This window comes from Homo sapiens, chromosome 1 (assembly GCF_000001405.40).
Source record: "Homo sapiens chromosome 1, GRCh38.p14 Primary Assembly".
Classification (NCBI taxonomy): domain Eukaryota; kingdom Metazoa; phylum Chordata; class Mammalia; order Primates; family Hominidae; genus Homo; species Homo sapiens.
The window spans coordinates 121,518,117-121,542,549 of NC_000001.11; the positions used below are offsets into that span (position 1 = coordinate 121,518,117).

General features: G+C 40.4%; 1 pseudogene across 1 annotated transcript in view, besides 1 other annotated feature; it reads left to right on the forward strand.

The window, feature by feature from the left end:
• The first annotated feature begins 995 nt into the window (after positions 1–995).
• Positions 996–24,433, forward strand: part of EMBP1 (embigin pseudogene 1) — a 52,777-nt pseudogene continuing 29,339 nt past the window's right edge. The window contains exon 1 of the transcript NR_003955.1: positions 996–1,343. The product of NR_003955.1 is annotated as an embigin pseudogene 1 (transcript). The remainder of the gene's footprint in view (positions 1,344–24,433) is intronic.
• Positions 19,214–19,923: an enhancer, noted in NCBI's record as "NANOG-H3K27ac-H3K4me1 hESC enhancer chr1:121279128-121279837 (GRCh37/hg19 assembly coordinates)". NCBI's record gives its function as "activates a minimal SCP1, AML or CMV promoter by ChIP-STARR-seq in naive and primed H9 embryonic stem cells {active_cell/tissue: H9 hESC(naive and primed)}" and the evidence as "EXISTENCE:reporter gene assay evidence [ECO:0000049][PMID:30033119]".

Sequence of the window (24,433 nt, forward strand, 5' to 3'; positions counted from 1 at the left end):
TCTACATCTGTTTCCAAAGTTTTGCGCATATAATACTAAAACAAAAACGGACATGTTTTAGTAATACGTACCAATTACAAATTAACCATTCCTGCCTGGAATAAGCATAGGTTTTGTTAAATAGTTCAATTTTCAAAATTTGTCTCTTATGTTATTTCCAATCCTTTTTTTTTTTTTTAACGCTGATATATTTTGAATTTACGAATGTGAAAGCTGAACTTCAAAAAATAAAGGGAGAGGAAACAAAGCTCGTGAAAAATATTTAAAATATCTTTTAATGCGTTATAACATCCTGGAGAGAAATCAAATCAATGTGTTTCAATGTTACAACATAGATTTCTCCTCCCCTCCCGGATAAAGCACTAATTTATTTAATTTGGTTCAGAGCACTGAATATTCCAAGCTACAGCCTCGTGGGTAAGAGATAGCATTATCTTAAACAGTGTTCGGATTTAACAAAGGTCAACGTCTTGTGCAGTTTACATAGCATCTACTCTCAGTAGCTTTTGCTTCTTGAGCTCTACGTGGCTCCTCAGAAGCTGTTAGGCTTAACAAACAAAAATAAAGTAAAATCAGATACGGTATGGGGCCTTGGGACACTGAAACCTTCATCCGTAGAAAATCAGTTAAGTCTTCACAGGCTAGAAGAGAGGGTGTGTGTGATTAGTAGGCAAAGCAAAGAAAGATCAGTACAAGTTGTCTGGCAGCTGGATAAAACCTTACACCTGCGCAAAAATAAGCCTCCCTCATAAGAAAGCCCAAAGATGTCCGGGGTCGGGGAGGAGGAAAGTGTCTCTCATCTGTCCCATCAACGAAAATTAGTGAAATCTGCCTCAGATGAAGTGCAAAGGCCAGTCTGCAGGGATAGTTTCAACCTCTCCCCACGCGATGGGCTACACATCACCTGCCCAAGCTCTCTCCCGACCTGCTAGAGCCTAGAGGGCGGAGGCCGGAGAGGCTGCAGCCGGGAGTAGCACCGCACATCCGGGAACGCCAGCAGCGGGCTGAGGGCTGCATAACTGATGGAAGGCCGGGCGCGGTAAGAGCGTCTCGGGGAGTAGGGCAAGGCGGCCGGGCCCCTCCCATTCCGCCTTTTCTTCAGCGTCCTGCCCGCGGCACTGGCTGCGGGTGCCGGGCCACCTGCGAGTGTGCGGAGGGATTCCGGACACCCGCGGCGGCGAGCTGAGGGAGCAGTCTCCACGAGAACTGAGGCGGACCCTCTGGCGCCATGCGCGCCCTCCCCGGCCTGCTGGGGGCGAGGGCGCCTACGCCCCGGCTGCTTCTCCTCCTCCAGTGCCTTCTCGCCGCCGCGCGCCCAAGCTCGGCGGACGGCAGTGCCCCAGGTGTGATGGGTACAGGGGCCAGGGTAGGGAGGGCGGAGGGCGCGCGAGGCTCGGGTCCCCGCGGGCAGAGGGCATCGCTGGCGCTCCGGGCAGGGTTGGCGGGGAGAGGCGCGGGGATGCTGGTGAGGGCGGGTGGCGAGAGTCGGCGGCAGCCTCCCATTGGCTACGTTTGTGTCACCTGAGCTGAACCCTGGAACTGGTGCCGCTCGCGCTCCCGCGCTCTTTGGGGGCGAGTCTTAAACAAACAGCGCCCCGCGAGTCGGGCGCGTAGGTATCAGGGCAGAGTCTGGTGTTTCCTAGGAAGACGGCAGTGGGGTGTGTGGGTGGATGCAGGGACCAGATAGCGATTTGGCTTGTGCAAATGTGGCATGAATTTTGAAAGCCACATTTCCCCAAGGCCTACTCCCTTTTCTTGATTCGAGAGTGAGGCTCGAGTATCAGCTCCTTCCCTCCTTTTGTCAGGTGGGTTGGCTTTGAGGAATTTTTTTTTTCTTTTTTCTTTTTGAGACGGAGTTTTGCTCTTGTTGCTCAGGCTGGAGTGCAATGGCGTGATGTCGGCTCACCGCAACCTCCTCCTCCCGAGTTCAAGCGATTCTTCTCTCTCAGCCTCCAGAGTAGCTGGGATTACAGGCATGCGCCACCAAGCCCGGCTAATTTTACATTTTTAGTAGAGACGGGGTTTCTCCACATTGGTCAGTCTGGTCTCTAACTCCCAACCTCAGGTGATCCGCCCGCTTCGGCCTCGCAAAGTGCTGGGATTACAGGTGTGAGCCACCTCACCTTGCCGAGGATGTTTTTTTAGAGCTGAGCGGGGGAAAAAACATCATAACCAACTAGCCAACCAAAGATCCACAACTTAAAGGATAACGTGTGTGTATCTTCATTTTACACCGTGGTCTTTGAAAACAAAATGTGTGTGTGCGTGTGTGTGTGTGATTTTTGCTTGTTTTATTATTTAAGACACTTTGACAGAGGGATTATATGCAAAACATTACCAAAGCCAACACGAAATTTGCCATTGTACCTTCACCTGTTTATAATTACTTTTCATATTGAAAGGATTCCATCCAACCTATTGCAAGTTTCTGTGTCATAACTGTTAACAGCCAGTAAGGGTAATAAAACACCACCTCTCAAGTTGGTAAATATTGGCCACCAGTAACTAAAATTGGGACATTATTCTGCAAAAAGTTTTCAAACTCTCATGGGAATTTATTTTCATGGGCTTGTAATATGTGGAATTTTTGTAACACACCATAGAGAAAGAAGGATAATCAAAAGGTAAGACTATTAATTTTTATAAATGCCTTTTAAAAGGTCTAGTTGTTAACAACTTGGACAGAACATCTTGGGTTGCTTCAGTTCTAAATTTCCTTGTGCCATATCTCTTTTCCATAATACCACTTATAAAGAATGGTCCAGGCCTGTAATCCCAGCACTTTGGGGTGCTGAGGTGGGAGGATGGCTGGAATCCAGGAGTTCAAGACCACCCTGGGCAAAATAGCAAGGTCCCTTATTTATTTAAAAAAAATTTTTAAAGTGCGGTTGTGGTGATGTACACCTGTAGTCCCAGGTGCTTGGGACGCCAAGGCAGAAAGATTGCTTCAGCCCAAAGTTTGAGGCTGCAGTGAGCTATGATGATGATGGTGCCAGTAAGCTCCAGCCTGGGTGACAGCGCAAAACTGTCTCAAAAAAAAAAAAAAAAAAAAGAAAAAAAAAAGAAAAAGAAACAGAATTGCCCAGTTCATTTTTCCCCCTTCTGGGTATCTCCAATTCTTCTATCCCTGGTTCATCTCAGAGTATTGCGGTTCTGAGAACCAGTGCATTCTGGATTCATTGTAGAACTTTGATTCTCTACTTGACTGTATGTCAGAATCACCAGAGAGCTTGAAAAATCCTGATACCTGGATCTTTCCCTACAAAACTCTGGTTCGTTTGGCTTGGGATTCAGTGTGGGCATTAAGAAGTTTTATCAGCTCCCCATGTAGCTTTAAATGTGATTTTGAGCTGGTTAAAAACCACAGCTTTAAAATGATATGGCCTAGAGAGTGCACTGTTAGATAAATACTTATTCCATAGGCATCACGGTTAAGTTGATATGCAGAGAAGATCTCTAAAGAGAGAGAGAAAAAAAGGTAGGAAACAAATGAAAGTGGAATAAATGAAGGTGTATATCAATAAGATGAATGGGGGAGGGGATGTCCCTCTATGTATATGGTATAAGTTCTGTCCTTTTAGCTCCACTTAAGCTAAAATTGTGGAACAATGTACAAGACAAAAGTTATGAAGTTAGCATCGAATTTAAGCCAGAATTAAAAATTGTCAGGCACTCTCAGCTTGTTTTCTAGATTCGGTATTGATCTCTGCAAAATTCAGTTTTCTCTTTGCAAAAGGATATTGTGAGGTTTACTGGATATTTTTTACCTAGATGTATAGACCTACACACTTGGACATAGGTTTTCTGTTAACCTAAGACTTTGAGTCAAATTTTAATAATAAGAATAGTTATAAATGTATAGCCCTACGAGTTAGCATTTTTTTTAGTTCCAGCTGAAAAAAAATAGAATTGTCCAGGACATTTTTCTCCGTTCTGGGTATCCCCAATTCTTCTATCCCTGATTCACCTTTCAAAATTCATCTCAGAGTATTGCAGTTCTGAGAACCTCTGCACTCCTGGGGAATTCTCACTCTTTTGCTCAGGCTGGAGGGCAGAGGCACATTCACAGCTCACTGCAGCCTTGACCTTCTGGGCTCAAGATGAAGAAATCGGGGCTTAGTTTAATAATTGCCCAAGTACACATACTTAGTTAAGCAGCAGAGCGGGAAATTTGGCATTGGTCCATCCAGTACCTGTTTGCTTAAACACAGTGCTTAAACACAATATCCAGTTGTCTCTCTGAGTTAATTGGAAATGTCTGTGAAAGTTCAGAACTACTGACAGCATAGCCTACGCATTTAAATGTCTGATTTGCACTGAATGACATGCTGACACGGTTTGAGTCCTGGAATAAAATTAGGTACAGGGACTCTTCTAAGGTTTTTTGATTAAATAAGACATGTAATATATCTTTGTAAAGGATACATCAGTGGGAATTTTTAAATATCATTATTATTACTATTACATGGCACAAATTGGAGAAATGGGTCATGTTTATCTTTTGAAAAATGTTTGCAGTAGAATCATTTTAAATGATCCTTTTAACTTCCATAGGACGTGGCTTTTGCATTCCCTTTATGAACCCCCTTCCCTACTAAACCCTCACCCCAAACACAGTAGCTTTCTAGTAATAAATATTTTTGAAGCAAATATTATTCTAGCACCCACATATGTCTGACATTGTTAGCCCATATCTCAGTAGAACATGCTAGCAGTTTTTTACCTTTAAGGACATTTAAAGGGGTTCCCACTGGACAAATCTGGGACAAATTGAGCATCAAATAAATAATAATATTAGTGGATTGCAACTCATTTAATAATATGGGAATTCATGAGTACCAACTGATGTAAACTAAAAAAGGAGTCAATGAAAAGTTTGATGGGATACAAAGTACTGAAGATTCAAAGTAACTCTTCAGAATGTGCTTATTAGTATCAAGGGCAAAAGAGTAACTTTATGGTGGAGAAGCTTGGCAGACAACACTTTGATCAAATGATCAAAGACCAAAATCTGTTTAAAGGGAACAGATTAACCATAAGCCTACCTTTATTTATTTATTTATTCATTCATTCATTCATTTAATTTTTGAGACAGGGTCTCACTCTGTCATTCAGGCTGGAGTACCAAGGCACACTCATGGCTCACTACAGCCTTGACCTTCTGGACTCAAGGGATCCTCCCACTTCAGCCTCCCACATGGCTGGGACTACAGGCATATGCCACCACACCCGGATAATTTTTGTATTTTTTGTAGAGATGGGGTTTCACTACGTTGCCTAGGCTGGCCTTGAACTCCTAGGCACAAGCGATCTTCCTGCCTTGGCCTCCCAAAGTGTTGGGATTATAGGCAAGAGCTACTGTGCCCAGCCTAAGCCTACGTTTAATAGTGATGTTTGTGATGCATGAACATCTTTACCCTAAATTTATCATCACAAAAAAATCATATGTTTAAAACATTTGTTAAGAATTAGGGCAACTGACTCTTCCTCATCTTCTGTCACCCTCATTCTCTTCCCTCCTCCCTCTCATCTTTCCCTCGATAGATCCTATAGTTATTTGGTGGGGAAGAGCAAGGAGACATCCTCACTAAGTGGGTGGAGCCCAAGGGGCCCAGATCAGGATATCTGAGGCTGACCTTGGTAAGGATGGCATCCAGGCAAGAGGGCAGCCTGGTATGGAGTATTAGGGCCTGAGCACAGTGAATGGGTGCTCCTGCAGCGGGCAGCTTGACACAGGGTCCCAGAGTTCAGCAAGTTAACAAGGCTTTTGTGCAGGAGCAGCAGATGGGTGATGTTTGATCCCAAACACGATGTGGAGGAAAGCATGTAGGAGGGTCAGACCAGCGATGGAGGTTGGAGCCTGAGTGGGTAAGGAGACATCTCTGTGGGGACAGGTGTGGCAGTGGCAATGAGAGTTTAGCAATATACAGGGTGACTGATCAAATAATTAAATCTAGGAAAGATAATAGGATCTAGGTTTTTCACTAGAGAAGAATGAAATAAAGATAGAGAAAAAGTAGAATGAACCCTGTGGTGTTGGATTGCAGTTGGCAGTATCCATGGGAATCCATGACATTAAATCCCTATCTCTTTACCTATGTCTATATAGGTATATAGATTTAAACAAGTATATGTGTAAATATATGTATCATGAATACATATCATGCATATCATATACATAAATATATATGATATACATTATAAGTTGTATGTGTATATGAATATGTGCACATGTATTCTTAGCAGTGATTTCCAGTAGTGATGAGTATATTTAGCACCCAGATCTTGGATTCTAAATACCATTCTTTACTAACAGTAACCAAGGCTTCTTGGAGAAATGGCTGATTTCAGGGCTAGTGTGGGAAAGTAGCAGATAAGCCTAGAACATCTTGTGCCAGAAAGCAATGGAGTGCTCAAAGGATAATGAGTCATGTCAAAAAGATACAGAGGCCAACATGAAGGGGTTCCCACTGGACAAATCTGGGACAAAACTGAGCATCAAAATAAATAATAATATTAGTGGATTGTAACCCATTTAATAATATGGGGATTCATGAGTACCAACTGATGCAAATTAAAAAATGAATCAATGAAAACTTTGATGGGGTACAATGTACTAAAGATTCAAAGTAACTCTTCAGAATATGCTTATTAATATCAAGGGGAAAAGAGTAACTTTATAGTGGAGAAGCTTGGCAGATAGCACTTTGATCAGATGATCAAAGACCAAAAAAATGGTGTGCCATCTGAGACGATATGGTGAGAAGAGCACAGCATCACTTCTATGATGTTCCTGCCAAAGGTGCCTGCCTCAAATATAATCATATTACAGCAGAACTGTCTTGGAATTTTAAAAAGTGTCAAGGTTATGGAAAAGTCAGAAGAGACTGTTGCAGTTCCAGAGTGAAGCCACATTAGAGAGAAGTGACAGCCAATGGCAATGGGTGATTCTGAGCTGGAACATTTTGCTACCAAGTCCATTGTAGGGACTTTTTTTCTGAAACTTAGATGGGGTATGGGGACCAGATGGTGCTTCGTATATATTCATTTCTTGATTTTAATGGCTGTATTGGGATGGTATGGGGAATGTCCTTTGTAGGAAATAGATGGTAATGTTTAAGTGGGGCATGAAGCATCAGGTCAGAAACTTACTCTCACATGGTTCAGAGGAGAAAATGTTCTGTTCTTGAAATGTTTCTGCTACTTTGAGATTGTTTGAAAAGAAACAAAAAGAATTAGTTTACCTGAGAAAGCTTCAGTTTACATAGGCATTAAACTAAAACAATAGTTGAGAAATCTGTTAAGGTTCTTAGGTATCATTTTCCAAAGGTGTATATGCCCTCCAACAGAAACAAATCACATGTGTTGAGGCTATTTGTTCTAAAGTGTAATCTTTTGACATTAACTTTGTATAGCTGGTCTCACATATTGCGCAATATAAGGTGAACGTTAGAAATTAACAACTTATCACATACATGCTGATGTAAGATAACAAACCTCACAACACTTTGCTAAAAATAAGCTCTATTCCTAATAAAAATTGCCGCTATTTAAACATAGAATATCTCAAATAATGTTAGAATCGAAATAAAGAATGTTACCTTTAAAGAGTTGTTATTCTTTTCTTTGAAAATAGCATTTTTCCTGGCATTTTTGAAGTTATTGAGGTTATTGTACTAATGTGTCCCTAATCCCAAGCCAGAAGCTTTTAATAGCCTTACAATTATATACTTCTGAGAACCTGAAAGGGAATTTAGATACCTCGTTTGATTGATCTTGAAGCTCAAAGTGCTTTTGTAACTTAGCCAAAAACAATGAGATAGCTAACAGCTATAACTGTTTTCCTGGGTTGTATTTCAGCGTCCATCCAGCATGTGGTTTTTCTTCATAAAAAGTCCTCAAAATAGGCCCCTGGCAGGAGGGTGTTCTTGGGAGGGAAGGGTGGCAAAAAATGTTCACACTTTAAAAATGTCTGCACCTAAACTATGCAGAACAGGAATTTAGGGCCACAGGGCCATTGGAAGATTATTAAGAATCATCACATTGAAGAATCAGGGTTGCCGATGTATCTGTTCAAAATCAAGGTTTTCAACTTTGGTACTATTGGCATTTTCCACTGGATAATTCTTTTTCGTGGAAAGTTGTTATCCTAAAACATTTAACAGTATCCCTGGCCTCTATATATGTGGTGGGTGAATTGTACACCCCCAAAAGATATGTTTAATCCCTGATCTTTGGTACCTGTGAAAGTGACCTTATTTGGGAGTAGGGTCTTTGCAGATGTAATGAACTAAAATAAGGTCATACTAAATTAGAGTAAGCCCTAAACCTAATGACTGTGGTCTTTATAAAAAAAAAAGGCGGGGGAGGGAGATTTGAACATAGAGACAGAGACATATACAGAGGGAAGATCATCATGTGAAGACAGAGGCAGGTGTTGGACTAATGCAGCTACCACCAGCCGAGGAATGCCAAGGTTGCCAGCAACTCCCAGATGCTAGGCAGAGGCAAGGAAGGATTCTTCACTGGAGAGTTCAGAGGAGGAAGGCCCTGCCAACACCTTGATTTCAGACTCCTGGCCTCCAGAACTGTGAAAGATTACACTTCTGTTGTTTTTGCCACCAAATTTGTAGTCATTTGTTATGACACCTAATTTGTGGTAATTTGTTATGGAAACTTATATAACCTACTAAATAAATGTAGTAATCATCCCCCAATTGTGACAAGCAAAATGCTTTCAGACATTGCCAAATGTCTCCTGTGGGGCAAAACTACCCTTAGTTGAGAGCCACTGAACAAAATCCCAACTCTTATCGAATAGACTAACAATTGAAACATTTAACAAATCTATAGTCTTTAGAAAGAATAGAAATCTTAGTTATTAACTTTTGGGGTTTTATTTCTTAATAAGTTTTTATTTGGCATAAGTTACTGTTAAAGTATCTTAGTGACCCATGTAGAGGTGATTTGAAACAGAATTTTTATGCTGCCCTTTGAAATGTATATTATTGCCAAAATTATATATTTTTAAAAAGATCAATTTATTTCCATTCCTATACCATCTGGTTTTTAAAATAGTTTTACAAGACTGGTAAAAGTGTACATTGTACTTGTCAGTAAGCCTTAAAAAACCTTGTCTATAAAGGCTTCTTGTCCAATAGCTTCCATACTATGCAGAAAATATCAAGAGCTCAAGAGTTCTCTATGTGGAGTATTATCTGTCCCTGACTTAGAAAGTCTGACTTATAAATGTCTACATCAGGATTACTATATATATATATATATATATATATATATTTTTTTTTTTGGAGATGGAGTCTCACTCTGTAATCCAGGCTGGAGTGCAGTGATGTGATCTCAGCTCACTGCAACCTCCGACTGCCGGGTTCAAGCAATTCTCCTGTCTCAGCCTCCCAAGTAGCTGGGACCACAGGCACATCCATCATGCCTGGCTAATTTTTTGTATTTTTAGTAGAGACGGGGTTTCACCATGCTGGCTAGGCTGGTCTCGAGCTCCTGACCTCATGATCTGCCCACCTCAGCCTCTCAAAGTGCTGACATTAGAAGCGTGAGCCACCGCACCTGGCCCCGATAACTAGAATTTTTTGACAAGCTTTTTTTTTTTTCCCCTTGTTTATCTTGTTTTTTGGATGAATCGCTCTGGAGTATAATTTCCAGGACTCAGAGATGCCTTATTTCCTTTTTCCTCCTTCTGCTGCATTTATGGACAGGGGATAAGGCTACTCTGTTCCTAAAACTCATAATTCTCCATGTGTTGTGTATAATCAGTATTCTACTTAGTAATTAGGTATTTTAAAGATAAGGTTTAACTATATCATGGCTTAAGTGGCCTTTACAATGTGGCATGGGATCACATGGTTATATATAATATTGCTTCCATGAAGAAATATATTCTTATTTCCAAATCTCTATTTTATGAATAATATATAATATTCATTCCTATCAGTGTTTCTGTAATTGGGTTGCACATTTATAATGCTGTATATCAGAATGTTAAAATTAAGATTTATTAAGTACTGCATGTTGATAGCAATCAGTATAGAGATGAGAAAGATAAAGAATAATATTTATTTTAATAGTAGTTCCTTCTTACACTTTTTTCTTAATGAAGTTCAGACCCTTCCAAGATTTTAACATATAATAAAGGGATTTTGGGGGCTTTAGAGAGAATGTTTATTCTTAATCAGAGATGTAGTTGCATTTATTTCCTGATTTAAAAAAGCAAATCATAAGACCCAATGCAGTTTTCTAGTGTTACTTATTTTTCTTCCCAACTTCAATTAAATGAAGCCCTCAAAATGAAATATGTGAAAATGTTACCTTAATACCTTTAAGTAGAATTATAGCATGTTTATTTCACTTGAAAGTGTTAATAGAATAAATTATAAGCCCTTCTAGAAACACATATTTTAAAATATAATATGTGAAAAACATTTAAGTAGAGGCCATTTTGCTATTTCACAGAAAATTATAACAGGTGAAAATTAAGATGTTACTCAATTCTTTGATGCAGTAGTCTCATGCTTCATCTGCCCTGCAAAGAGAGAAAAAAGTCTTTTAATCTCTTGAGCAACTATTTGATGTTACTCTTTCATGTTGATATTTTTGTCTCTTCCATATAGCATATAGAATGCTATATGGAAATTTTCTAGCAATGATTAAGAAAGGGTGAGTTTGATAACTTGAGAAATGCATGTTATGATCTTGGCATCATCACTCATATTTATACAACTTTTCTGATCCTCATTTTTTTCCCTATCAGATGAGGTTTACAGTGGAGGCATATTTTCAAAGCACTGAGCTGGGCATATGGCGTTTGGAAACCCTAAGTAACAGTCAGTGACAGAATTTGGATTAAGACCCCAAATTCCTTCATCTTCATTTTATACTTCTTTTTGTGACTCAGCCTAATCCTTTTAGGGAAGTATTCAAACCACATCTGCCTGAGTCTCCTGCCAATTTCCTTTAAACCCCAATGTTAGCTGAATCAGCCTCCTGCCAGCTGTCCTCCAACTAAAAGCAATAAGGTTTACATTCTCACTTTTTTTGGTTAAAAAATAGCTTGCCTAAACAAAGAACTTCTTTTACTGTCCTAATACCTTCTGTAGGCTGTCCTGCTTTTCCACTTAAGGCATTTCTGTATATTGCCTCTTTAAGGGACTTTTCCCAAGGCAGAAGCCACACAGCAGTTATATGTGTTCTTTTGCACTTGGGGCTTTTTCAGTGGAACCTGAAGCTTGATCAAGATTAATGCCTTAAAGGGAATATGAAGTTAAGGTACTGGTGGTGTTTGGTTTATGGATGTCTGATTGTATTTTTAATATGTGAGCCAGCAATTGGAAATGGCCTCAACAGCTAGTATATTCTGGAAATACCCAGACTTCCCTACCTCTGGAAACTTGGTGTTTCCTTCCTTTCCTATCCTTCAACTGTCATCAGCTTAGATTCTGCCAAAGCCAAACTTAGACTCATTTTCTCTCCTTATTCTGACACAGGTCCCTGTTGAGCCCATCCAAGACAAGTCCTAGTGATCGGTAAGGGAGAATAGCCCCAGCATTGGAGCTCATCTTCCTGGAATTATCTTCACCCTCCTTCCACCTCCAGGCTCAGGCTTCACACTCTATCTCATGTGCCAATTTGTATAAAATATACTGGCTAGTTTTAGTCAATACTATGCATTAATGGGTGCTGCTCAAAATTTTAATGACTCTCAATTTCAAATTGTGGGCCCAAATCCCTACTATTATGATCCATATAACCCCTTAAGGACCAAGCTTGCCCAGCTTCATATTCCCCAACAGTACCAAGTGTGCATCAGATACTGTGTATATTCATTTACTTAAGTGGAATAGGAATAAGAATGACAGCAATTTTTTCATTAGTTTATGTCACTCTTATTGTTACTGATACTGTGAACCATAATAATAAATGATGCTGGAAATCTCAAAAAGGTTATGGGCTTGTTTCAGGGATAAAGAGTATAATAAGAACCCTTAAGATTGTATTCTGCTGTACAGTGGGGTATCCCTGGAGAGGAAAGCAAAGATATCAAAGCTTACGTTTTGCAGGCTTCACAGAACAGATGATATAGTAGAATAGCTGTTTCCTTCTCATCCACCCCCGCCTGGCTTCCTGTCCATAAGTGAATAGCATCTGCCTTGATCTTCCTGAAATATTTTGTCTTTAACCTCTAAGTATGCTAGCCCCAAGAATAGAAACAAGGATTTTTCATTAGGAAAATAACATTTATGGGAGCTTTTCTTTTAAGCAGTGTGTATATGTGTGTTTGTGTGTGTGTGTGTGTGTGAGAGAGAGAAAGAGAGAGTTGGGGAGGGTGGGAGGGAAGAGGAAGAGAGAAAAGGGGGAAAAGACAGAGAAGGAGGGTGATGGGAGGAGAGGGAGAATGGGAGAATATGGGTATGAATATGAATGAATGAGTGAATGAATGAATGAATACTAGATGTGACTGGAGGAAAGGTTTTGTATACTTGATAGCCCAGTGAGAAACTCAGGACATATTTTCCTATATAATCATTGTGAGAGGGTAGTCTGATTTAATATGTTATTTAAGGACTTTTTTTTTTTTTTTTGAGACAGAGTCTTGCTCTTTGGTCCAGGTTGGAGTGCAGTGGCGCGATCTTGGCTCACTGCAAGCTCCACCTCCCGGCTTCACGCCATTCTCCTGCCTCAGCCTCCTGAGTAGCTGGGACTACAGGCGCCTGCCACCACCCCCAGCTAATTTTTTTTTGTATTTTTAGTAGAGACAGGGTTTCACCGTGGTCTCGATCTCCTGACCTCATGACCCACCCGCCTCGGCCTCCCAAAGTGCTGGGATTACAGGCGTGAGCCACCGCGCCCGGCCACTTTTTTTCTTTTTTTAGAAATTATTATAAGTTCTGAGATACATGTGCAGAATGTGCAGGTTTGTTACATAGATATACATGTGCCCTGGTCGTTTAGAAAGTGCATTAAACTTCGAAAGCTGTTTTAGAAGTGATTAAACCTTTGGAACACAGCCTATTGGAGAGTTAGGTTCTGCTAGGTACGTTATTTTATTAGGCAATATTGTAAAAGCAATGTTCTAAAGCTAAAGTAACAAAAGTGATCACTATGATAACATTTTTCATACATATAAGAAAATGAACTGGAAATCTAATCTTGTACTAGAAATAACTTTCTGAGCAGATTATTTTTAAAAAGTGTAATAAAAATGGCTCAGGTTTCATTTAAATTGAATGGGATTTAATTTAAATCATGCAGCCAAGTTTACAATAATAAGCCTTTTTTCCCCCTTCTCTGACTTTTTTGATATATTTGAGTAGTTTCCTGGAAGGTAAGGTCTGGTACTCTAAAATAAAAGGAACAGTAGGCCATGTCGTCTGCCGGGCACGGTGGCTCACACCTGTAATCCCAGTACTTTGGGAGGCTGAGGAGGGCAGATCACGAGGTTAAGAGATTGAGACCATCCTGGCCAACATGGTGAAACCCCATCTCTACTAAAAATACAAAAATTAGCTGGGCGTGGTGGCGGGCGCCTGTAGTCCCAGCTACTCGGGAGGCTGAGGCAGGAGAATTGCTTGAATTGGGGAGGCGGAGGTTGCAGAGATCCGAGACCATGCTACTGCACTCCAGCCTGGGCAACAGAGTGAGACTCCGTCTCAAAAAAAAAAAAAACAAAAATAAAATAAACAAATAAAGTAACTTCGAGGAGAGTGAGAGAGGTGAAAATAGAAACCTTGTTTTTTTAATGAAAGTTTTCAAAAGGAGAGAGAAGTGACAGAGGCAGAGGAAACTGAAAGTCAGGTGATAGAGGGCATGCCTCTTGGTAACCGTAGCTGGAAAACAAATAGCAACCCAAAGTGGCCCGTCAGCCATTTTTTTTTTTTTCTTTTTTAAATTTTCATTTATTTATTTATTTATTTGTAAATAGAGATGAGGTCCCACTATGTCACCCAGGCTGCTCTTGAACTTCTGGGCTCAAGTGATCCTCCTGCCTCGGACTCCCAAAATGCTGGGATTACAGGTGTGAGCCACTACACTTAGCCTGGTCTTTTCAACTCAACCTGTTTTTTTTGTTTGTTTGTTTTTTGTTTTTAATTTTTTTTTTTATTATACTCTAAGTTTTAGGGTACATGTGCACATTGTGCAGGTTAGTTACATATGTATACATGTGCCATGCTGGTGCGCTGCACCCACTAACGTGTCATCTAGCATTAGGTATATCTCCCAATGCTATCCCTCCCCCCTCCCCCGAACCCACCACAGTCCCCAGAGTGTGATATTCCCCTTCCTGTGTCCATGTGATCTCATTGTTCAATTCCCACCTATGAGTGAGAATATGCGGTGTTTGGTTTTTTGTTCTTGCGATAGTTTACTGAGAATGATGGTTTCCAATTTCATCCATGTCCCTACAAAGGACATGAACTCATCATTTTTTATGGCTGCATAGTATTCCATGGCGTATATGTGCCACATTTTGTTAATCCAGTCTATCATTGTTGGACATTTGGGTTGGTTCCAAGTCTTTGCTATTGTGAATAGTGCCGCAATAAACATACGTGTGCATGTGTCTTTATAGCAGCATGATTTATAGTCCTTTGGGTATATACCCAGTAATGGGATGGCTGGGTCAAATGGTATTTCTAGTTCTAGATCCCTGAGGAATCGCCACACTGACTTCCACAATGGTTGAACTAGTTTACAGTCCCACCAACAGTGTAAAAGTGTTCCTATTTCTCCACATCCTCTCCAGCACCTGTTGTTTCCTGACTTTTTAATGATTGCCATTCTAACTGGTGTGAGATGATATCTCATAGTGGTTTTGATTTGCATTTCTCTGATGGCCAGTGATGATGAGCATTTTTTCATGTGTTTTTTGGCTGCATAAATGTCTTCTTTTGAGAAGTGTCTGTTCATGTCCTTCGCCCACTTTTTGATGGGGTTGTTTGTTTTTTTCTTGTAAATTTGTTTGAGTTCATTGTAGATTCTGGATATTAGCCCTTTGTCAGATGAGTAGGTTGCGAAAATTTTCTCCCATGTTGTAGGTTGCCTGTTCACTCTGATGGTAGTTTCTTTTGCTGTGCAGAAGCTCTTTAGTTTAATTAGATCCCATTTGTCAATTTTGGCTTTTGTTGCCATTGCTTTTGGTGTTTTGGACATGAAGTCCTTGCCCACGCCTATGTCCTGAATGGTAATGCCTAGGTTTTCTTCTAGGGTTTTTATGGTTTTAGGTCTAACGTTTAAATCTTTAATCCATCTTGAATTGATTTTTGTATAAGGTGTAAGGAAGGGATCCAGTTTCAGCTTTCTACATATGGCTAGCCAGTTTTCCCAGCACCATTTATTAAATAGGGAATCCTTTCCCCATTGCTTTTCTCAGGTTTGTCAAAGATCAGATAGTTGTAGATATGCGGCATTATTTCTGAGGGCTCTGTTCTGTTCCATTGATCTATATCTCTGTTTTGGTACCAGTACCAGGCTGTTTTGGTTACTGTAGCCTTGTAGTATAGTTTGAAGTCAGGTAGTGTGATGCCTCCAGCTTTGTTCTTTTGGCTTAGGATTGACTTGGCGATGCGGGCTCTTATTTGGTTCCATATGAACTTTAAAGTAGTTTTTTCCAATTCTGGGAAGAAAGTCATTGGTAGCTTGATGGGGATGGCATTGAATCTGTAAATTACCTTGGGCAGTATGGCCATTTTCACGATATTGATTCTTCCTACCCATGAGCATGGAATGTTCTTCCATTTGTTTGTGTCCTCTTTTATTTCCTTGAGCAGTGGTTTGTAGTTCTCCTTGAAGAGGTCCTTCACATCCCTTTTAAGTTGGATTCCTAGGTATTTTATTCTCTTTGAAGCAATTGTGAATGGGAGTTCACTCATGATTTGGCTCTCTGTTTGTCTGTTGTTGCTGTATAAGAATGCTTGTGATTTTTGTACATTGATTTTGTATCCTGAGACTTTGCTGAAGTTGCTTATCAGCTTAAGGAGATTTTGGGCTGAGACGATGGGGTTTTCTAGATAAACAATCATGTCGTCTGCAAACAGGGACAATTTGACTTCCTCTTTTCCTAATTGAATACCCTTTATTTCCTTCTCCTGCCTGATTGCCCTGGCCAGAACTTCCAACACTATGTTGAATAAGAGCGGTGAGAGAGGGCATCCCTGTCTTGTGCCAGTTTTCAAAGGGAATGCTTCCAGTTTTTGCCCATTCAGTATGATATTGGCTGTGGGTTTGTCACAGATAGCTCTTATTATTTTGAAATACGTCCCATCAATACCTAATTTATTGAGAGTTTTTAGCATGAAGGGTTGTTGAATTTTGTCAAAGGCTTTTTCTGCATCTATTGAGATAATCATGTGGTTTTTGTCTTTGGCTCTGTTTATATGCTGGATTACATTTATTGATTTGCGTATATTGAACCAGCCTTGCATCCCAGGGATGAAGCCCACTTGATCATGGTGGATAAGCTTTTTGATGTGCTGCTGGATTTGGTTTGCCAGTATTTTATTGAGGATTTTTGCATCAATGTTCATCAAGGATATTGGTCTAAAATTCTCTTTTTTGGTTGTGTCTCTGCCCGGCTTTGGTATCAGAATGATGCTGGCCTCATAAAATGAGTTAGGGAGGATTCCTTCTTTTTCTATTGATTGGAATAGTTTCAGAAGGAATGGTACCAGTTCCTCCTTGTACCTCTGGTAGAATTCGGCTGTGAATCCATCTGGTCCTGGACTCTTTTTGGTTGGTAAACTATTGATTATTGCCACAATTTCAGAGCCTGTTATTGGTCTATTCAGAGATTCAACTTCTTCCTGGTTTAGTCTTGGGAGAGTGTATGTGTCGAGGAATGTATCCATTTCTTCTAGATTTTCTAGTTTATTTGCGTAGAGGTGTTTGTAGTATTCTCTGATGGTAGTTTGTATTTCTGTGGGATCGGTGGTGATATCCCTTTTATCATTTTTTATTGTGTCTATTTGATTCTTCTCTCTTTTTTTCTTTATTAGTCTTGCTAGCGGTCTATCAATTTTGTTGATCCTTTCAAAAAAACCAGCTCCTGGATTCATTGATTTTTTGAAGGGTTTTTTGTGTCTCTATTTCCTTCAGTACTGCTCTGATTTTAGTTATTTCTTGCCTTCTGCTAGCTTTTGAATGTGTTTGCTCTTGCTTTTCTAGTTCTTTTAATTGTGATGTTAGGGTGTCAATTTTGGATCTTTCCTGCTTTCTCTTGTAGGCATTTAGTGCTATAAATTTCCCTCTACACACTGCTTTGAATGCGTCCCAGAGATTCTGGTATGTGGTGTCTTTGTTCTCGTTGGTTTCAAAGAACATCTTTATTTCTGCCTTCATTTTGTTATGTACCCAGTAGTCATTCAGGAGCAGGTTGTTCAGTTTCCATGTAGTTGAGCGGCTTTGAGTGAGATTCTTAATCCTGAGTTCTAGTTTGATTGCACTGTGGTCTGAGAGATAGTTTGTTATAATTTCTGTTCTTTTACATTTGCTGAGGAGAGCTTTACTTCCAACTATGTGGTCAATTTTGGAATAGGTGTGGTGTGGTGCTGAAAAAAATGTATATTCTGTTGATTTGGGGTGGAGAGTTCTGTAGATGTCTATTAGGTCCACTTGGTGCAGAGCTGAGTTCAATTCCTGGGTATCCTTGTTGACTTTCTGTCTCGTTGATCTGTCTAATGTTGACAGTGTGGTGTTAAAGTCTCCCATTATTAATGTGTGGGAGTCTAAGTCTCTTTGTAGGTCACTCAGGACTTGCTTTATGAATCTGGGTGCTCCTGTATTGGGTGCATATATATTTAGGATAGTTAGCTCCTCATGTTGAATTGATCCCTTTACCATTATGTAATGGCCTTCTTTGTCTCTTTTGATCTTTGTTGGTTTAAAGTCTGTTTTATCAGAGACTAGGATTGCAACCCCTGCCTTTTTTTGTTTTCCATTGGCTTGGTAGATCTTCCTCCATCCTTTTATTTTGAGCCTATGTGTGTCTCTGCACGTGAGATGGGTTTCCTGAATACAGCACACTGATGGGTCTTGACTCTTTATCCAACTTGCCAGTCTGTGTCTTTTAATTGCAGAATTTAGTCCATTTACATTTAAAGTTAATATTGTTATGTGTGAATTTGATCCTGTCATTATGATGTTAGCTGGTGATTTTGCTCATTAGTTGATGCAGTTTCTTCCTAGTCTCGATGGTCTTTACATTTTGGCATGATTTTGCAGCGGCTGGTACCGGTTGTTCCTTTCCATGTTTAGCGCTTCCTTCAGGAGCTCTTTTAGGGCAGGCCTGGTGGTGACAAAATCTCTCAGCATTTGCTTGTCTATAAAGTATTTTATTTCTCCTTCACTTATGAAGCTTAGTTTGGCTGGATATGAAATTCTGGGTTGAAAATTCTTTTCTTTAAGAATGTTGAATATTGGCCCCCACTCTCTTCTGGCTTGTAGGGTTTCTGCCGAGAGATCCGCTGTTAGTCTGATGGGCTTTCCTTTGAGGGTAACCCGACCTTTCTCTCTGGCTGCCCTTAACATTTTTTCCTTCATTTCAACTTTGGTGAATCTGACAATTATGTGTCTTGGAGTTGCTCTTCTCGAGGAGTATCTTTGTGGCGTTCTCTGTATTTCCTGAATCTGAACGTTGGCCTGCCTTGCTAGATTGGGGAAGTTCTCCTGGATAATATCCTGCAGAGTGTTTTCCAACTTGGTTCCATTCTCCACATCACTTTCAGGTACACCAATCAGACGTAGATTTGGTCTTTTCACATAGTCCCATATTTCTTGGAGGCTTTGCTCATTTCTTTTTATTCTTTTTCCTCTAAACTTCCCTTCTCGCTTCATTTCATTCATTTCATCTTCCATCGCTGATACCCTTTCTTCCAGTTGATCGCATCGGCTCCTGAGGCTTCTGCATTCTTCACGTAGTTCTCGAGCCTTGGTTTTCAGCTCCATCAGCTCCTTTAAGCACTTCTCTGTATTGGTTATTCTAGTTATACATTCTTCTAAATTTTTTTCAAAGTTTTCAACTTCTTTGCCTTTGGTTTGAATGTCCTCCCGTAGCTCAGAGTAATTTGATCGTCTGAAGCCTTCTTCTCTCAGCTCGTCAAAATCATTCTCCATCCAGCTTTGTTCTGTTGCTGGTGAGGAACTGCGTTCCTTTGGAGGAGGAGAGGCGCTCTGCGTTTTAGAGTTTCCAGTTTTTCTGTTCTGTTTTTTCCCCATCTTTGTGGTTTTCTCTACTTTTGGTCTTTGATGATGGTGATGTACAGATGGGTTTTCGGTGTAGATGTCCTTTCTGGTTGTTAGTTTTCCTTCTAACAGACAGGACCCTCAGCTGCAGGTCTGTTGGAATACCCTGCCATGTGAGGTGTCAGTGTGCCCCTGCTGGGGGGTGCCTCCCAGTTAGGCTGCTCGGGGGTCAGGGGTCAGGGACCCACTTGAGGAGGCAGTCTGCCCGTTCTCAGATCTCCAGCTGCTTGCTGGGAGAACCACTGCTCTCTTCAAAGCTGTCAGACAGGGACATTTAAGTCTGCAGAGGTTACTGCTGTCTTTTTGTTTGTCTGTGCCCTGCCCCCAGAGGTGGAGCCTACAGAGGCAGGCAGGCCTCCTTGAGCTGTGGTGGGCTCCACCCAGTTCGAGCTTCCTGGCTCCTTTGTTTACCTAAGCAAGCCTGGGCAATGGCGGGCGCCCCTCCCCCAGCCTCGTTGCCGCCTTGCAGTTTGATCTCAGACTGCTGTGCTAGCAATCAGCGAGATTCCGTGGGCGTAGGACCCTCTGAGCCAGGTGTGGGATATAGTCTCGTGGTGCGCCGTTTCTTAAGCCGGTCTGAAAAGCGCAATATTCGGGTGGGAGTGACCCGATTTTCCAGGTGCGTCTGTCACCCCTTTCTTTGACTCGGAAAGGGAACTCCCTGACCCCTTGCGCTTCCCAGGTGAGGCAATGCCTCGCCCTGCTTCGGCTTGCGCACGGTGCGCACACACACTGGCCTGCGCCCACTGTCTGGCACTCCCTAGTGAGATGAACCCGGTACCTCAGATGGAAATGCAGAAATCACCCGTCTTCTGCGTCGCTCACGCTGGGAGCTGTAGACCGGAGCTGTTCCTATTCGGCCATCTTGGCTCCTCCCTCGGAATCTATTTCTTAAACACAGACATCAGAAGCTTAACCAACTCAACCTACTTCCTTGCAGGAGTGAGTCCGTGCTGCTGCACATGCCCCAGCCTGTGAATCCAGAGCTCACTACAGGGCGCATCACAGGACTGGTGGACAGGCTCAACCACTTCCGAGGTGAGTGTCACAATTTTTCTTAAACAAAGCTACTGCTCTTTGCTTTGTGAAGTGGTAATCCCTGTTCCTGGCCCGGTGGGAAAACATACCAGTAGCGTGCTGGGAATCTAATGTGGTGAGAACGTTTTACTGGGGGCGCACAAAGGAGGAAAATATTCCAGACATGCTAAGGCTAAGAATGGCTCCCCAGAAAACGGATACCTGAGAAAAGGGAGAATCAATTTTGATTTGCAGATACTCTTATGTTTTCATTAATTCCTGCTGGTACATCCATTACATAACTCTAGGTCAAGAAGAGAATTTGTATATCTGTTGGAAAACCTTTAGCCAGAGAAATTAAAGATGATATCAAATGAGTCACTGTGCTAAGGAGAAGCAACCAAGGAACTCCAAAATTAAACCCAGCCCTGCTTTCTCTGCTTTTTCTTTCACAGTTTTGGATTCCATGTTTCCAAAGTAATCTTAGTCTTTTAAATTCCTAAGAGTCATTAATCTGTTTTAGGAACAATATTAAAATTGTATAATTAGAATTTAAAACATCACAAACTATTATTAAATCAATAGTTAGGTTTTTCCAAATACACATCTAGTGTTTAACTGTCCTCTAGTCTTATGAACTGTTTCTCTATTTCTGTTTAATATGAATAGAAGGTGTGTGTGTGTGTGTGTGTGTGTGTGTGTGCAGCTGTGTGTTTCCCAATCTGATAACAATGGAATGTTTGCATTGAGCTTTTTGGGGGAGCATTTTTGTGACTTTGTGCAGCTTTTGTTTGTTCCCAAATGTCCCCATTCCAATGTATGGAGTTCATTCTTGTAAAAAATAATTATTATAACTTTCCTGTGTTCTTTTACTTTTTGCAAGTTGTAGTTGTTGGTTGCCTCTGTTAAGATGAAATGTTTCTTTAAGAGACTCATGTGAGAAAGCAATCTACACATTCTTTAACCAGCCTGGCAATGTTGGCAGCAGGGCACCGCTTACTCAACCAGTACAGCTGGGGCCTGGAAACGAAACAGTCAATGCTCAGGGCAGGAGCAAAAAATGGACTTTTTAATTGTTATTAGGCTGGTTATTTAATTAACCTGTTTGGAGGGTTTAACTCCTATTCTTTTATTCTAAATAGTGCTATTTAAAGCCATATTCCCACTGTTATAAAGAGACTAATTGTTTGCAATTATCCATTACTTACCTCTGCCTTGGCTTGATTAAACTTTAGTCTGTCTTTTTTCTTCCTTACAGACCCCTGAAACGTGGCTTGCCCTAAGACTGAGCAAGCATTAAAATGAAGAACATCTTGATAATTGGCTGACTGCAGCCCGATCATGCTGTCTGTGTACACTCCTTCATTTGCCCAGTTTCCCTAAAAAAGTTCCTGCTTTACTGCTTATCCCTCTTCATATTAAAAAATAGCCTTTTCTGTTTACTTTTGGGATGCTTGAAGATCTTAAGTTTGGAGGTTTTTCCTCTATTGCAATAGTCTTTTTAAAAATAATGTCTTCATTCTGGGCAGGGTGGCTCACATCTGTAATCCCAGCAATTTGAGAGGCCAAGGTGGGTGGATCACTTGAGGTCAGGAGTTCAAGACCGGCCTGGCCAACATGGCAAAACTCTGTCTCTACTACAAATACAAAAATTAGCTGGGCATGGTGGCGGACACCTGTAGTCCCAGCTACTTGGGAGGCTGAGGCAGGAGAATCGCTTGAACCCAGGAGTTGGAGGTTTCAGTGAGCCACTGCACTCCAGCCTGGGGGACAGAGTGAGACTCTGTCAAATAATAATAGTAATAATAATAATAATAATAATAATAATGTCTTCATTTAACTTTGGATTTGTTTTTGACGAAAAGATTTGACATTAATTTAGAAACATTAGATATCAGAGTTGGGCTCTGAATGGTTACATTTCCATATAGGTTGTTGCTCTAGTTCCTTCCCATCGAAAAGTTTGGTCTTAGAAACTACCTTTACTGAACTACAGAATTTAAATTTGAAGATATATTTATAATTTTTAGTGTCAATGTAAAATAAGAATATCAAGATGAATCTCTAAACAAAATGCTTTATTTGGTAGAACAGAATTGGAGTTCAGGGCATACACAGAGAGTGGAATGGTCTTCAGTATGACTGAAAAACAAGGAGAAGCTTAGAGGTTTTATTAGAGAGAAATGTTATATATTGTTTTGGAAGAAAACTCATTAGCACTAGCAAAGTTTTTAGGAGCTGACGAGCTCTGAATGGTGAGTGATGGTGGTGGGTAAATTAGTCTTAGAGTCATGGCGGTTTGTTTCAGAAGCTGCTAGGTAAAACTGGTCTTAAAGTTATACCAGGTCATTTCAGCAGCTAGCTTGCATTATTAGCCCCGGGCAGGTGCTTTGTGTCCCAAGTGTTTTTTTTTTTTTTTTTTTTTTTTTTTTTTTTTTTTTTTTTTTTTTTTTTACTGGGTCTCTGGACTGTAATTTAGTTGAATATGACAAGATAACTCCAATTCCTGATTATCAATTTTTACCTTATGAACCATAGACTTTCTTCTTACTGCTGTTAAGATTTTTAACCTACTATTTGTAAATGGAGTGTTTTCATATTTTCATAACATTGATATGTATCAATATTGATTTTATCATTATTCATTCATTGTTGTCTATAAACAATACTTATAACATTTCTATGTTGTTACTTATTATTTTCTCTTTCCCTCTGGCCATTGTTGAAGTTAATCTGTCTGTTAGGATAAAATGTGTCTTGTAGAGAGATTCAAATACAATACGTTAATTGTAAATTTTGGACCAGAAAGATTTTGGTCTGGCTCTTGACATACATACTTATCCAAAGATTCTTGAGACTGGAAAACATATGGATTCTTGTGCCTGGGAGAATGAAAACATGGCCTTTGATTCATAAAAGCTTATTTATTTAATATTTTTAAAATATTGCTAATTATTTACTTAACAAACTCGATGTTGACTATGTACCATGTTTGTATTTCTAAATAACTTAATTCTTGTAACAGCTCAATGAGGTGGGTACTGTTACTATTTGTAATTTGCAGGTGAGGAAAGAGAGGCACAAAGAGACTAAGTGAACTGACCAGGATCACAGTTCCTGAGTTGGAGCTTATGGTTTTAAATTCAGGCAGCTTGGTGCCCAGTCTGTGCTATTAACCATTATGCTTTGCAGCCTTTCTTTCTGGGCATAATGCCCAGTTACTTGTTTCTTTTAACAGCATTACTAAGTCAATTATATTTATTTTAAGAAGAATGACATTAGTTTTGAAATGATGTAGTAAACTATGAAAATAAAGCTGTTTTCTAGGTTTATTGCTATTTCTAGGTTTATTTAGTAATAAAGCTATTGTTTTAGAAGTTGCATTTGCTGCCTGCAATCCCAGCACTTTGGGAGGCCGAGGCAGGCAGATCACCTGAGGCCAGGAGTTTGAGACCAGTCTGGCCAACATAGTGAAACCCCATCTCTACCAAAAATACAAAAATTAGCTAAGTGTGGTGGCGGGCACCTGTATTCCCTTCTACCTGGGAGGCTGAGGCAGGAGAATCGCTTGAATCTGGGAGGTGGAGGTTGCAGTGAGCCGAGATTGTGCCACTGCACTCCAGCCTGGGTGACAGAGCAAGAGTCCATCTCCCCTGCCCCACAGAAAAAAAGAAATTGCACTTGCTTAATCATAAATTTGTGAAAGTAATTGACTTGACTGAAACTAAAAGTATTTTTTCTGCTCTCAGGGGTTTTAAAACAGATTTTTTGATAATGGACTATTTTTATATCACTGTACTTAGTTTTCCAATGCCCATGGTATTTGGAATTCATTATATTGTTTGTATTGCCACAATATATTTTTATTTTTGTTTTTTCCTCTCTGCATATTAGTGTTTAGTTTCTCAATCAGTGTGTTATAGTTTAATGGAAGAGACTGAAATAAAAATAAACAGCTGAGAGTTCCCTTGACCAACTTGTTAACACTGGAATCAGCTCTCCTGTGTTGACCCAATGGCACATTTTATTTACATGTTGAGATGTGATCAGCTGTCCCACAAGGTCCTTGTGAGCTAAGGAGATAATATAAGTAGACATTAGAGGTGCAGATGTGCAAATTAAGGCACAATGTAAGATTCGGGAAGATTAG